The sequence below is a fragment of the Homo sapiens genome, chromosome 11 (assembly GCF_000001405.40).
Source record: "Homo sapiens chromosome 11, GRCh38.p14 Primary Assembly".
Lineage (NCBI taxonomy): Eukaryota > Metazoa > Chordata > Mammalia > Primates > Hominidae > Homo > Homo sapiens.
The window spans coordinates 66,738,615-66,753,340 of record NC_000011.10 but is presented as its reverse complement, the minus strand read 5'-3'; the positions used below and the strand labels follow the sequence as shown (position 1 = coordinate 66,753,340).

General features: G+C 47.2%; 2 protein-coding genes across 3 annotated transcripts in view, besides 7 other annotated features; one reads left to right on the top strand and one right to left on the bottom strand.

Moving 5' to 3' along the window:
- TOP6BL (TOP6B like initiator of meiotic double strand breaks) overlaps positions 1-8,572 on the bottom strand; it is a 98,748-nt gene extending 90,176 nt beyond the window's left edge. The window contains exons 1-2 of one of the 2 annotated variants that reach the window (NM_024650.4): positions 8,422-8,572; positions 4,824-4,962 (exon numbers count right to left, since the gene is read on the bottom strand). In NM_024650.4, the coding sequence (NP_078926.4) occupies positions 4,824-4,962; positions 8,422-8,451 (169 nt within the window). In that variant the 5' untranslated portion in view covers positions 8,452-8,572. The remainder of the gene's footprint in view (positions 1-4,823; positions 4,963-8,421) is intronic. The other variant, NM_001302084.2, reaches the window with a different exon arrangement.
- Positions 7,714-7,803: an enhancer, noted in NCBI's record as "active region_5057". NCBI's record gives its function as "activates an Ori minimal core promoter by ATAC-STARR-seq in GM12878 lymphoblastoid cells {active_cell/tissue: GM12878}" and the evidence as "EXISTENCE:reporter gene assay evidence [ECO:0000049][PMID:35858748]".
- Positions 7,984-8,083: a silencer, noted in NCBI's record as "silent region_3602". NCBI's record gives its function as "represses an Ori minimal core promoter by ATAC-STARR-seq in GM12878 lymphoblastoid cells {active_cell/tissue: GM12878}" and the evidence as "EXISTENCE:reporter gene assay evidence [ECO:0000049][PMID:35858748]".
- Positions 8,244-8,353: an enhancer, noted in NCBI's record as "active region_5056". NCBI's record gives its function as "activates an Ori minimal core promoter by ATAC-STARR-seq in GM12878 lymphoblastoid cells {active_cell/tissue: GM12878}" and the evidence as "EXISTENCE:reporter gene assay evidence [ECO:0000049][PMID:35858748]".
- Positions 8,494-8,883: a silencer, noted in NCBI's record as "silent region_3601". NCBI's record gives its function as "represses an Ori minimal core promoter by ATAC-STARR-seq in GM12878 lymphoblastoid cells {active_cell/tissue: GM12878}" and the evidence as "EXISTENCE:reporter gene assay evidence [ECO:0000049][PMID:35858748]".
- Positions 8,496-8,519: a repeat instability region, noted in NCBI's record as "repeat instability region; expansion of the (CGG)n trinucleotide repeat is associated with fragility at FRA11A". NCBI's record gives the evidence for it as "EXISTENCE:polymerase chain reaction evidence [ECO:0000082][PMID:18160775]" and "EXISTENCE:Southern hybridization evidence [ECO:0000078][PMID:18160775]".
- Positions 8,496-8,521: a tandem repeat, named in NCBI's record as "fragile site, folic acid type, rare, fra(11)(q13.3)".
- SPTBN2 (spectrin beta, non-erythrocytic 2) overlaps positions 8,659-14,726 on the top strand; it is a 62,186-nt gene continuing 56,118 nt past the window's right edge. Inside the window, exon 1 of the mRNA XM_047427495.1 lies at positions 8,659-8,799. The gene's annotated coding sequence lies outside the window, so the exon portion shown is untranslated. The remainder of the gene's footprint in view (positions 8,800-14,726) is intronic.
- Positions 8,845-9,345: an enhancer, noted in NCBI's record as "H3K4me1 hESC enhancer chr11:66511467-66511967 (GRCh37/hg19 assembly coordinates)". NCBI's record gives its function as "activates a minimal SCP1, AML or CMV promoter by ChIP-STARR-seq in naive H9 embryonic stem cells {active_cell/tissue: H9 hESC(naive)}" and the evidence as "EXISTENCE:reporter gene assay evidence [ECO:0000049][PMID:30033119]".

The following is a 14,726-nucleotide window of genomic DNA, read 5'->3' as shown; positions in this document are numbered from 1 at the left end:
AGTCTTCCATTTATAAGCTCTGCTCTCTTTCCCCATCCTTAGCTGGAGAGAACTTAGAGGACTTAGAGAAGGATACACCCGCAAGACAGAGATAGCATAAAACAAAATACTTGCCTGCTTGCCTGCATACACACACATTCATCTGACTGTGAAATACAAGAAAACTAAACATTTTATGTGTTAAGCCACTGATATATATATATTTTTTTTTGGAGACGGAGTCTCACTCTGTCACCCAGGCTGGAATGCAGTGGTGTGATCTTGGCTCACTGCAACCTCCGCCTCCCAGGTTCAAGCAATTCTCCTGCCTCAGCCTCTGGAGTAGCTAGGACTACAGCCGCATACTGCCACACCTGGCTAATTTTTTGTATTTTAGTAGAGATGGGGTTTCACCGTGTCGCCCAGGCTGGTCTCAAACTCCTGAGCTCAGGCAATCCGCTGGCCTCACCCTCCCAAAGTGCTAGCATTATAGGCGTGAGCCACCGCGCCTGGCCAAGCCACTGAGATTTTAGGGTTTGTTATAGCACCTACCCTTATTTACTGTAATTAATACAAGGATAAAGAGAAGATTCTAAAAGCTTACAGAGAGGCCGGGAACGGTGGCTCATGCTTGTAATCGCAGCACTTTGGGAGGCTGAGGTGGGTGGATCGCTTGAGGTCAGGAGTTCGAGACCAGCCGAGCCAACATGATGAAACCCTATCTCTATGAAAAATACAAAAATTAGCCAGGCATGGTGGTGTAACGCCTGTAATCCCAGCTACTCAGGAGGCTGAGGCAGGAGAATCACTTGAACCCGGGAGGCGGAGGTTGCAGTAAGTCGAGATCATGCCACTACACTCCACCCTGGGTGACAGAGTGAAACTCCATCTCAAAAAAATAAAAATGAAAGCTTACACAGAGGGGAAGAAAAAAGAAAAAACAGGTCACATACAGAGTAATCAGAAAGATTTTTAGATTTTTCAATAGCAACACCTTAAGTTAGAAAATAATGCTGCAATGTCATCAAAATTCTGAAGGAAAAATGAATTCTGGCTTAGAATCCTATATGGCCAAACTATCAATTAGGTATACGTGGAGATGTTTTCAGAGATGTAAGGTCTCAAGAAATTTACCTTCCAAACACTCTTTCCAAGGAAGCTACTGGAGCCTGAGATCCATCAAAGCAAGGAGTAAGCCAAGTAAAAAAAAAAAAAAAAAGAGAGAGAGGGATTCAGGAAGCACAAAATCCAATGCAAGAGAAAAACTACAGAAACACTCTGAATAATGATGAAGGGAAGATTCCAAGGTAACAGCTGTGCACCAGATACAGAAAGCATCAAGTCAAAATTAGAGCAGGTCAGGATACACTGGAAAAGAGTTTTTCAGGAGGATGAAACTGATATATTATCTGATGTACTGGAATATATTGAGTAGATTTAGACAAATGCTGGAAGTTTGCGAGTTGACTAGATGATAAAAACAGAAAATAAAATAAGTATTAACTGAAGGGAAATTATAAAGAAAAGTAATCATAGTTTTCTATATGGCTAAACTGCATTTTATGGTCATGATGAGTAAATATTGATCTACGTGGTTGGAAAATTATAACTATATTAAAAGAAAGACACATGGTAGAGGTGAAGATATTAAAGAGAGCCATCATCCTCTATGGTGGAAAATCAATAAATGCCTATAAAAAGGAAAATTAAGATATAACAATTTAGGGCTGAGCACAATGGCTCATGCTTATAATTCGAGCAGTTTGGGAGGCTGAGGCAGGTGGATCGCTTGAGTCCAGGACTTCAAGACCAGCCTGGGCAACATAGGGAGACCTCATCTCTATAAAAAAAAAAAAAAAAAAATTAGTCAGCCAGGCACGGTGGCTCACGCCTATAATCCCAACACTTTGGGAGGCTGAGGTGGGTGGATCACGAGGTCAAGAGATCGAGACCATCCTGGCCAACGTAGTGAAACCTGGTCTCTACTAAAAATACAAAAATTAGCTGGGCGTGGTGGTGCACACCTGTGGTCCTAGCTACTTGGGAGGCTGAGAAAGGAGAATCGCTTGAATCTGGGAGGCAGAGGTTGCAGCCAGCCGAGATCCTGGCGCCACTGCACTCCAACCTGGTGACAGAGTGAGACTCTGCCTCAAAAAACAAAAACAAAACAAAACAAAAATTAGTCAGGCATGGTAGCACATGCCTGTAGTCCCAGCTACTCAGGAGGCTGAGGTGGGAGGATCACCTGAGCTCAGGGGGTCAAGGCTGCAGTGAGCAGTGATTGCACCACTGCAGTCCAGCCTGGGTGACAGAGTAAGACCCTGTCTCTAAATTAATAAATAAATAAATAACATCTTGGCCAGGCGTGGTGGCTAACACCTGCAATCCCAGCACTTTGGGAGGCCAAAGTGAGAGGACTGCTTGAGCCCAGGGGTTTCAGACCAGCCTGGGCAACATAGCAAGAGACCCTGTCTCTAGAAAAATACAAAAATAAAACAACCAGGCATGGTAGCACATGCCTGTAGTCCTAGCTACTCAGGAGGCTGAGTTAGGAGGATCATTTGAGCCCAGGCATTTAAGGTTACAGTGAGCTATGATTGTGCCACTGCACTCCAGCCTGGGTGACAGAGTGAGACCATATTTGGGGGAAAAAAAAAAGATACAACAACACAAACATGTTACTTAGATCAAAGATAAATATTAAATAATCAATTAACAGAGTTAAAAGTATTAGCCTCTAGGAGGGAGAAAGATGGGAAGGGAGAGATGGGGGAAGCACGCAGGGTACTGTCGGGTTTTTTGTTTGTTTGTTTTGAGATGGAGTCTCACTCTGTCACCCAGGCTGGAGTGCAGTGGTGCGATCTTGGCTCACTGCAACCTCTGTCCTCCCAGGTTCAAGTGATTCTCATGCCTCAGCCTCCCGAGTAGCTGGGATTACAGGTGTGTGCCACCACAACCCGCTAATTTTTATATTTTTAGTAGAGACAGGGTTTCTCCATTTTGGACAGCTGATCTCGAACCCCTGACCTCATGTGATCTGCCCACCTCAGACTCCCAAAGTGCTGGTGTTACAGGCATGAGCCACTACACCCAGCCAAAACCATATGTGTGTGTAACTGACAAAAACTAAAACTAAATAAGTGTACATTTTTTTACAAAAAAAATGAAATAGATCCCTTATGCTAACATGAAATGCTGCCCACAAAGTACTGGTACATAGCACAGTCATATGTATAGTATAGTTCTAGTTCTAAAAAATGGATATTGATAACTAAGAACGTAGGCATAGAAAAATCTAGAAGACAGATTATCCTTGGCAAGTAGGGGGAAAAAGGAAAATCTAGAATATATACTCAATGTTAATAATCATCTCAAAGGCGTGAGATGTGTAGAAAGTCTCACTCTCCACAATATATGTTTCTGTAATGTTTTTTATCAAGCATGTATCACCACGTTTCCTACCCAAAAAAAATATATAAACATAGGCTGGGTGCGGTAGCTCACGTTTGTAATCCCAGCCCTTTGGGAGGCAGAGGCAGGTGGATCACTATCACTTGAGGTCAGGAGTTTGAGACCAGCCTGGCCAATATGGTGAAACCTCCATCTCTATTAAAAATACACACACACACAAAATTAGCCAGGCATGGTGGCAGCTGCCTGTAATCTCAGCTACTCAGGAGGCTGAGGCAGAATTGCTTGAACCCAGGAGGCAGAGGTTGCAGTGAGCCCAGATTGCGCCACTCCAGCCTGGGCGACAGAGTGAGACTCCATCTCTAAATAAATAAATAAATAATTATAACCATAATTACTTAAAGCTCAGAGACAATAAAGAGAAGAGAAATGCCCCCTATTCTAGGTGGGCTAAAGAAGTTCATCAGGCTCAAAATGCAGAATCGAGTTTCTTGCCAAAAACTACTGTGGCTAAAGTCCTTTGCTTTGAATTAAATCAACCTTGCTACCCTGGCCAGAGTTTATTGGATTAGACTATTACAACCACACACAGACCAACCATCACCCTAGACACGTAGCCAAGCATTTCTCTCAAGAGTGGTGGGAACCCTGCCAGTCAGAGTGCAGTTCATGCAGAGTAAGAGCAAACCAACCTGTCATACTGCTCTTGAAGATGTTTAATATTAATACACAAAGACAAGACAGGTCATTCCTGTTCAGGTAAGCAAATGTCTTGTAAAGCCTAGTTCACTATCCAATCTCAACTTGGTGCCCAAGTGACTTCTCTAAGCCTGAAGGGGCAACTTCAATCCAAAGTACCCTTCAATAAACCTACACACACACACACCACACACACACACACAAAAAGCTAACACTTCAAGTTTAAGAAAATTCATGCTTCAGAGCCACTCACTGCATCAGGTTTCCCTCAAAGACAACAGGCAAAAATGATAAAAGCATGAAAGCCAAATGGAAGAGATATTTTCAAACTAATCACAGTATGCACCATTCATCATTTTTCCTTTTTTTTTTTTTTTTTTGCTACTGCCAAAATTTAGACTTGGGAAAAAAAAAGTAGGTAAAGCTCAATGTAATATAATTTAGCTGTGACAAAGTAGATTAAAATCAAGAGAAAAATAAGATTGTTTCTGAGCAATTTTAACTTAAACCAGTAAAATAAATAATCTATGGTAAGAGTCATTCAACTACTCACCTTTCCTGTATGATACATTTGTAAATCTACCACCAGACACTTATTACATAATCATTTCATTTTATAATTATGGAACAATCCTGGAATAACATGATAAAAGATTCTAATTGAAATTTTTAAATAAGCTACGACATAAACCATGACAAAAGAGATAGAAAATATTTTTTCTTTCTCTACTTACTAGTTGTTACACAATGAAGAGCATTTGCCTGGTGCTTAGAATTTAATCCTTCTATGGAAATCACTAGCTGCCCTTCTAGCAATGCTCCCTTTGATACATCTATGTCACACTTCCAGTGAATTATTAAAAATCTCAAAATCTGAAAAGAGCACAATTCAAAGAAAACATAATCTTCTTTAGAAATCACAGTAATAATACATCTCTATGACCCAGTTAAATTAGTAACTCTAATTTCCCCCCAAAAATTGTATTCTTGCTTCTAAAATGTCAGATTTAGGTTTGTTCAGAGTATTGTGTCTAAACAAAATAAATAGCTAGGAGAGTGACATAAGAAAAGAGTCAGTGAAATTCAACATAATGCCCAGTAAGACAGGAAATTGAGACAATAAATTCCTTTATTCAGAAGATAAATTCATCTGGAAATAATAATTAGGGAAAAATTAAGTGGGAGTTTGTTTTTCTTGTTTCTTTTTTCCTGCCCCAAATAAAAGCCAACATGAAGACTATGAATAAGAGTGGCATCTGGTTATGAATCATCTTGATCTTTCATTAAATCAACACTTTTGAGGGTCAGAATACTATTTAAGAGTGCTAATGCTGCCCTGCGCGGTAGCTTATGCCTGCAATCCCAGCACTTTGGGAGGCCGAGGTGAGAGGATCACTTGAGCTCAACAGTTTGAGATCAGCCTGGACAACATACGCAGACCTTATCTCTACTAACAACAACAAAAATTAGCCCAGCGTGGTGGCGTGTGCCTGTAGTCTCAGCCACTGGGGAGGCTGAGGCAGGATGATCTCTTGAGCCCATAAGATTGAGGCTGAAGTGAGCCCTGATCAGGCCACTGCACTCCACACCTGGATTTGAATCCCTGATGTGCCAAATTCTAGCATGTGACCTTGGGCAAATTACTTAATCTCTCCAAACCACAGACTCCTCATCTATTAAAATGGGGATAAAACTACCACATAGGGCTGCTGCTGAAAGTAAACAAATAAGGTACGTGCAACGCTGAGCGCAGTGGCTCATGCCTGTAATCCCAGCACTTTGGGAGGCCAAGGTGGGAGAATCGCTTGAGCCCTGGAAACATAGTGAGGCCCCATCTCTACTAAAAAAAAAAAAAAATTAAATAAAAATATGTGCAAAATGCTTAACACAGTACTTGGCAAATAGCAAATGCTTAACAGATATTAGCTATTATTTCTAAGTTCTAATGCAGTAAAGACTACACACAATATTTTAAGTTGAACAGGACTCCAAGATGTCTGGGTAAAACATTTAATCGACCGGGTGTGGTAGCTCACACCTGTAATCCCAGCACTTCGGGAGGTTGAGGCGGTGGATCACCTGAGGTCAGGAGTTCAAGATCAGCCTGGCCAATATGGTGAAACCCCATCTCTACTAAAAATACAAAAATTAGCCGGGTGTGGTGGTGTGTGCCTGTAGCCCCAGCTACTTAGGAGGCTGAGGCAGGAGAATTGCTTGAACTCGGGAGGTGGAGGCCACAGTGAGCCAAGATTGGGTCACTGCGCTCCAGCCTGGGCAACAGCAACACTCCGTTTCAAAAAGAAAAAAAAAAACACATTTATTCGAGACAAATTGAAAATAAAATATATTTCATTTATTTTTGGGGGGAGAGAGGGGACAGAGTCTCACTCTGACTCCCAGGCTGGAGTGCAGTGATGGCATCATCATGGTTCACTGCAGCCTCAACCTCCCGGGCTCAGGTGATCCTCCCACCTCAGCCTCCCAGGTAGCTGGAAGTGCAGCCGCCTGCCACCACACCCTGCTAATTTTTTTTTTTTGAGATGGAGTTTTGCTCTTGTAGCCCAGGCTGGAGTGCAATGGTGCGACCTCAGCTCACTGCAACCTCCGCCCCCTGGGTTCAAGCGATTCTCCTGCCTCAGCCCCACAAGTAGCTAGGATTACAGGCATGTGCCACCACACCTGGCTAATTTTGTATTTTTAGTAGTGACGGAGTTTCTCCATTTTGATCAGGCTGGTCTTGAACTCCCGACCTCAGGTGATCCGCCTGCCTCGGCCTCCCAAAGTGCTGGGATTACAGGCGTGAGCCACCGCTAATTTTTGTATTTTTTTCAGAGACGGAGTTTCCTCATGTTAGCCAGGCTGGTCTTGAACTCCTGATCTCAAGTGATCTGCCCGCCTCGGTCTCCCAAAGTGCTGAGAATACAGGCTACCCACCGCGCCCGGCCAACTCCCATTATTATTCATGCAAACAGATTCTCACTTTTACAGGGAGGCAACACAAGGAAAATTATTACCCCCTTTTTAAAGGCAGGGAGATCTGGGAACTAAGATCCTCATTTGTACCAGTTAACAAGAATGGTTTCCAGGTACGTGTAGAGTCTAACTATTCCTTCACACGTCCTCTGTTACGATATTCCCATATCGGGCCGGGCACGGTGGCTCACGCCGGTCCCAGCACTTTGGGAGGCGGAGGCGGGCAGATCACTTGAGGTCAGAAGTTCAAGACCAGCCTGGCCAACATGGTGAAAACCTGTCTCTACTACAAATACAAAAATGAGCCAGGTGTAGCGGCGTGCGCCTGTAATCCCAGCTACTCGGGAGGCTGAGACAGGAGAATCCCTTGAACCCGAGAGGCGGAGACTGCGGTGAGCCGGGATCACGCCACTGCACTCCAGCCTGGGCGAAAGAGCGAGACTCCGTCTCAAAAAACAAACAAACAAACAAACAAACAAACAAACCCTAAAGATATTCTCATGTCGGTATGACAGCGCAGTTGGGAAAAGAACACTGGCCTATGAGTCAGCGCCCTGGGTTCTAGCCTAGGTTCGGTTATTTGTAAAATGGAATCCCGCCGCCTTCTTTGATGACAACAAACAGGCAGGACGCCCGGGGGTACTCTCTCAGGTGCCCTCAGAGCCTGTGCTTCTGTCACCTGCCCAGTACCCCTCACAAACAGCAGCTCAACGTCCCATTGGGCACCGGCCGTGAAAGTGGGTAATGAAATGAGCACACGGGGCGTGGCCGGCGCCAGGCGCTCAGTGCCGTCTTCCAGAGCAGCTCCCCGAGCACAGGTGTGGCCTCTGAACCTCGCCCTTCCACGTCCAGCTGCTTCGAACCCAGAAACCTGCACCTGCACCGGGGCCTAAAAAAACTCTCCCTCGCTCCCAGTCTGCACTGGGTCCCTCCTTGCCTCTGTCCTGGCGCCCCGACTCCCCCCACCCCGCCCCGCAACGCCAGGGCTTGCCCCATTCCTTTCCTTCTTTCCGCGCCCCCTCCCAGCACCCGGTGCATGGAAGGCGCTGGGCTCCGGCAGGCACCTCCGAGGCTGCGTCAGGCTCTGCCCCTGGGTGTCCGCCGGTGCTCGGCAAACGCCGCAGCTTTCTGAGCCGTAGGCTGGAGAGAGGGCGTCGTTCCCCCACAGAGTACCCCGCGAGCGAGAGCCCTCATCTGCTCCTACTTCCTCGCTTCCCCGTGGGAGACGGGCCTCGATTCCCGAACCTTCCTCCTTCACCTTAGGCGACGCCCGACCCCTCTGCCCAAACTTCGCGGTCTCCTCACAAAGCCCGTCTCCTCAGAAAGTGTCCTCCGCTTTCTCTCCCTTCCCAGCATCACCTCGAACACGGCCACGGCCGTCCCCTCCATGCCGCGCAGGGAACAGCGGCAACGCCCAGTCGAAGGGTACCCGCCCGCCGCCGCCGCCGCCGCCGCCGCCCCCTCCTCAGCCCGGGCTTGGAACTCCGCCAGTGCCCACGCCCGAGTCCACGCCCACGCCCGGCAGCGCGAGCCCATCCCTTCCCGCGCGCGCGCCTGCGCCCGCGCACGCCCCGCCCACCTGCCCGCCGCGCCTGCGCACTCGACGCTGCAGGGCCCCGAGACCGCGAACCGCCGCCGGGAGCCACCTAGAGCCTCTGAGCGCCGCGGGTGCCAGTGGGCCCGCAGGTGGGAGGTTCGGGGCGGGGAAGAGCCCGCGAGAGGCGGCCAAGGCTGGAGGTGAGCGGGAATGAGGCCAGGCCACGACTCCTCCCTCCTCTCAAAGATAGTTTCCCACGGTGGCGGCGAGATGCGGCCCTTGGCCCTAATCCGGGCTTTGGCCGCCCTTCGCGCTTTCCAGGACCCTTCCCTCGGCCGGGAGGGGCGACGGTAACGGCGCGGGGCTACCAAGCGGGTTCGTGACCCCTCCAACAGCCTTGTCTGCGGCGGGGGCTGCCCCAGGCCAAGCCCTGGGTCCCAGACTTAGCAAAGAAAAAGACGGCCAATTAAAATTGAATTTCATATAGACAGCGAATTTTTTTTATAACCATACACATATCTCGGCAATTTTTGGGACATATACTAAAAAATTACTAATCTGAAATTAAAAACGACGCCCTGGGCCGGGCGCAGTGGCTCACGCCCGTCATCCCAGCACTTTTGGAGGCCGAAGCGAGTGGATCACCTGAGGTCAGGAGTTCGAGACCAGCCTGGCCAACATGGTGAAACCCCGTCTCTACTGAAAATACAAAAATTAGCCGGGCGTGGTGGCGGGCGCCTGTAATCCCAGCTACTCGGGAGGCTGAGGCAGGATAATTGCTTGAACCTGGGAGGCGGAGGTTGCAGTGAGCCGAGATCGCGTCATTGCACTCCAACCTGGGCAAAAAGAGCGAAACTCTGTCTCAAAAAAAGAAAAAACGACCCCCCGTCTTTTACCTTACAACCAGCCCCAAGCATCTCCCAGCCTAATCCAGGGGGACCAGCTTCCCCCGCAAAGGTGGGACCTGGGAGTCGACCCCTCCCTATCCAGGCCCCTTTCCACGTTTGACTGCACTGAATGTGCCAAGACCAGGAGCTGGCTTTTCTGGGCTCTGGCTGACAGGAGAAGCTCTGGGGTTTTCCAAGTGCATTCCTGGCTGGAATAAGGAGGTCCTGCAGAGTCCCAGCTGCTGCTCTCTGCCAGGTTCCGGGAGGGGCATGGTGACAGGGGCTTAAGCCTATAACTGCTGGTGATCTGACAGCCAAAAGAAAACCCTGATGAGAGATTCCTGCCTGGCAAAGAGTTGCCCAAGGAGAAGGGTGGGACAGGGTGTTGGCTGCTTTCCTTCAGGAAAAATTCTTCCACCCCAGCTCCAAGACGCCAGGATTGGACAGAACAGGCTGGCGAGCTGGCAGAGTGCCTGCCCAGTACACAACCTTGGTGCTACTCCAAAGAACATTGTCTATCGAGACCTGAATCATACCCTTCTCGAGTCTATGCTCAGCGCTCCTCCCCATTCCTCCCCATCTCAGTTGCTCACAGGTAGACCTATTGGAGCAAGGTAGCTTTTATTTCTGGAAAATCCATCGTAACCATCAAACTTGATAAACAGCTGGCATTTGAGGAATCATTGGAGTCTTCCTTTCATTCCCCCCACACCCCCCGCAGAGCTCCCCATCCCCACCCCCAGTCTCTTGTCCTTTTTCAGAAGAGGAGTTGCCAAGGGGAAGGGACCAGTAACATTGAATGACTGCTTGTTGTCGGACCCCACTAGCTCTTTACATAAATGATGTCATCCTCTCAACTATCTTGTAAGAAAATTGTTATCGTCACTATTTTATGGGTGAGAAACCAAGGTATTGAGGATGGTTCTTTAAAATATTTCCCATCGTGGCCGGGCGCAGTGGCTCACGCCTGTAATCCCAACACTTTGGGAGGCCCAGGTGGGTGGATCATTTGAGGTCAGGAGTTCGAGACCAGCCCAGCCAACATGGTGAAACCCCACCTCTACTAAAAATACAAAAATTAGCCAGGCGTGTTGGCATGTGCCTGTAGTCCCAGCTACCTGGGAGGCTGAGGCAGGAGAATTGCTTGAACCCGGGAGGTGGAGGTTGCAGTGAGCTGACATCACACCACTGCACTCTAGCCCGGCTGACAGAGTGAGACTCTGTCTAAAAAAAAAAAAAAATTATCATTGTGAGTGTTGGCCCAGCAGAAAATGCTCCACCTTGAGAATGGCATTGAGAATGAAGATGAGTTGGTTTCCTAGCTTCCAGCCCTTGTCCTTGGAAATGAGCCTCTAGCTTTCAGCCCTTGTCCTTGGAATGAACTTCAGGGATAAAGGTGTAATGGAGCACCCAATACCACCCTAGAGGCAGTGGAGGCCTCTCAAAGGTAGCCAGGGACACAGCTGTCCTCCCTACTGGACATAGGGAGAAGCAAGGAGGGAAGCCTTCGATATGAGGGTTTGCCATCAGGACTTCCGTAGCGTAAACCCACGTATTCAGGCAGCATGCAATATAGGCTTGATATATGGTGAGAATCCACTCTGTGCTAAGTGCTCTTCACTTTTTCTTATTCATCTTAAGCAGTTCTCCCAATTTTGTAATCTTGTAAGAAAGATGTTATCTTTGTTTTAGAAATGATAAAAATGAGAATCCAAGAAGAAGTTGTATGAATAAATCAGGCATGGTGGCTCATGCTTGTAATTCCAGCACTTTGGGAGGCCAAGGCAGGAGGATTGTTTCAGGCCAGGAGTTTGAGACCAACCTGGGCATTATAGTGACAGCCTGTCTCTACAAAAAAATTTAAAAATTAGCCAGGTACAGTGATGCATGCCTACAGTCCTAACTACTTGGGAGGTTGAGGTGGGAGGATCTCGAGCCCCTCGAGTTGGAGGTTGCGGTGAGCTATGATTATGCCACTGCACTCCAGCTTAGTGACAGAGCAAGACCCTGTCTCAAAAAAAAAATTAAAATTTTAAAAACGGTTTTTTGCTCAGACCTCATCCTCAGAACACTAGAATGTTAGAGCCAGAAGGGACTTTGGAAATTATCAGTTATCTATTAAGATGAAGAAATTTGAAGCCCAAAGAAACTAAATGACCTGCCCTTGGTTAAGGTCACCTTAGTTAACTAGGCCAACCAAGGAGGCTTTGAGTATGGCTCTCGATATTTTCAGCCCTGGCCTTCCAGGTCTCATTTATTGGCAGTGTCTGTAGGGAGCCAGTTATTTCCAGTCCTTAGACTGGGTGACATATTGATTCTGCTTCCATTTCTGCACCCACCTCAGAATTTATATTACTGTTTCATGTTGTATTAGTTCATTCTCATGAAGACATACCCGACACTGGGTAATTTATAAAGGAAAGAGTTTTAATTGACTCATTGTTCATCATGGCTAGGGAGGCCTCAGGAAACTTAGAATCATGGCAGAAGGGGAAGTAAACAGATACTTCTTCACATGGCAGCAGGAAGGGGAAGAATGAGTGCCCAGTGAAGGGGGAAGCCCCTTATAAAACCATCAGATCTCTTGAGAACTAATTCACTATCAGAAGAACAGGATGAGGGAAACTGCCCCCATGATTGAATTATCTCCGCCTGGTCCCTCCCATGACACATGGGGATTATGGGAACTACACTTCAAGATGAGATTTGGATGGTCACACAGCCAAACCATATCACATGTCTACTTTGGATATCTTGTTTATTCCAAAAAGAAACCCTCTGTCTGAGACACACTCCCTGCCCCCCTATAAGAAGAGCCCAAGACTGATTCTGACCCAAACTCAAGGGTTTGAGTGGAACCAGAACATCCTAGGGAGTGCTGCCAGATGAACAATGACATTTTAGGGACTGTTGAGCTTTCCTTTTGAATGTGCCCTCTCTGTGTCTCCTAGACACTTCTTAAGGCCCCACCTTGTTTCTTAGGCTCCCCTAGAGCTTTCAAATGCCCTAAAGAGGCTGACCCTAGGAACTTAAGTAGAAAATATCCTTGAGGTCCGCCTTTCCAAGCTGATGCAAAAGGAAGTCCATTTGAAGACTCCCTCCCCTGGGAAAGAACCAAGCAACTATTAAGCTGTTTCCCATCCAGACAGTAGGAAAGGGTTAACTGCTTCTCTCGGGTCCTGAGCAAAGTCTGTCCCATACCAGTTCCCATAACCGGGTTTCCTGAAATGGAGCAGGTCCCAGGTGACTCTCCACTAATCACATCCTTGGAAATGGGGCCATGAGGCTCAGATTAGCTCATCCCTTCACCTTCTTGAGGCCTTCTCCACCTGGAGCACAGAATCTGGGGCAGCTTCACCACTCACCTCCCTCTGCTTTCTTATCAGGGGTCAGACAGGGATGTTCTAGCAGAGGAATATTATTGGGCTAATGGGGGCAACTAGAGGCCATAATGGTGCTGACTTTTGTGCAATTCTTGGACTACAGCATCTGTTCTTCCCCTTTCTAAGACTTAGGGGAAAAGAGAGATTCTTTTCCTGGGACAGTACCAAAGTTTATATAACTCGAGTATTTCGTTCTTCACCCCCATTCCCTGTTTTCTTCCTCTCCTTGAATAACTGACTATGATACTGACTAACTTCCTGTTCTTCCTGGCCAAGTCACCCTTTGCACAAAGTCTGATTTCTCATCCACCAGTAGCAGGTGCTGGGCCAGCCCAGGAGATTTCATTCCTTTCCTATTATTGTCCAATTTTTCCTCTGCCTAGATAGCCAATAAAATCTACATCACAAAGTGGTTCTGCCCTGTGTAACTGGCTTTTTTTTGAAGGAGTTTTGTTCTTGTTGCCTGGGCTGGAGTGCAGTGGCAGGATCTCGGCTCACTGCAACCTCCATCTCCTGGGTTCAAGCTATTCTCCTGCCTCAGCCTCACGAGCAGCTGGGATTACAGGCATGCATCACCGTACCTGGCTAATTTTTGTATTTTTAGTAGAGACAGGCTTTCACCATGTTGGCCAGGCTGGTCTCGAACACCTGACCTCATGTGATCTGCCTGTCTCAGCCTCCTAAAGTGCTGGGGGGATTACAGGCGTGAGCCACTGCGCCCAGGCTATAATTGGCTTTTTACCTTATCTCTAAGTAGGGCTGGATTTGTCCTGCCAGCTGATGTCCACTGGAAGAGAAGTATTCTTTGTGACTTAGAAACCTTGGGAATGCAAACAGCACTGTAATGTGGTCACATATGGTCAAGTAAACCTATTGATCCAAAGACCAGATGATCAACTGTATTTGAAAGACAGGTAGGCTAATTGAGACAAAAATTCTTCCAGCAGCCTCATTAAAGAGGACATTGACTCCACATATTCTAAAACTCTCAGATTGTTTCATAGACATTATTTTAACTATATTCCTGGGAGAATTTTCCTATTTTAGCTATGGAAAACTAAAATATAACACCTAAAGAGAGGTAAAATGGGAAAAGAATTGAGACATCCTGACTGTGTGTGATTACAGTACTCCGAAGCACTTTGCCAGGGATACAGGTGTACAGTCTTTAAAGCTAGTTTTCTGGAACCTTAGTTGAGCTGATTTTTCACCGATCTCTAAAAGTTGACTTGGCTGTGCACAGTGGCTCACGCCTGTAATCCCAGCACTTGAGGAGGCCTAGGCAGGAGGATTGCTTGAGCCTAGGAGTTGGAGACCAGCCTGGACAACATAATGAGACCTCATCTTTAAAAAAATTAAAACTTAGGCCCGGCACGTTGGCTCACGCCTGTAATCCCAGCATTTGGGGAGGCTAAAGTGGGCAGATCGCTTGAGCTCGGGAGCCCAAGACCAGCCTGGCCAACATGGCAAACCCTGCCTTTACAAAAAATAAATTAGGCAGGCATGGTGGTGAGCACCTATAGTCCCAGCTACTCATGAGGCTGAGGTGGGAGGATTGCTTGAATCTGGGAAGCAGAGGTTGCAGTGAGCTGAGATTGGGCTGCTGCACTCCAGCCTGGGCAACAGAGTGAGACACTGTCTCAAAAAATAATAATAATGGCCAAGCGCAGTGGCTCACGCCTGTAATCCCAGCACTTTGGGAGGCCGAGGCAGGCAGGTAATGAGGTCAGGAGATAGAGACCATCTTGGCCAACATGGTGAAACCACATCTCTACTAAAAATACAAAAATTAGCCGGGCGTGGTGGCGAGCACCTGTAGTCCCAGCTACTCAGAAGACTGAGGCAGGAGAATTGCTT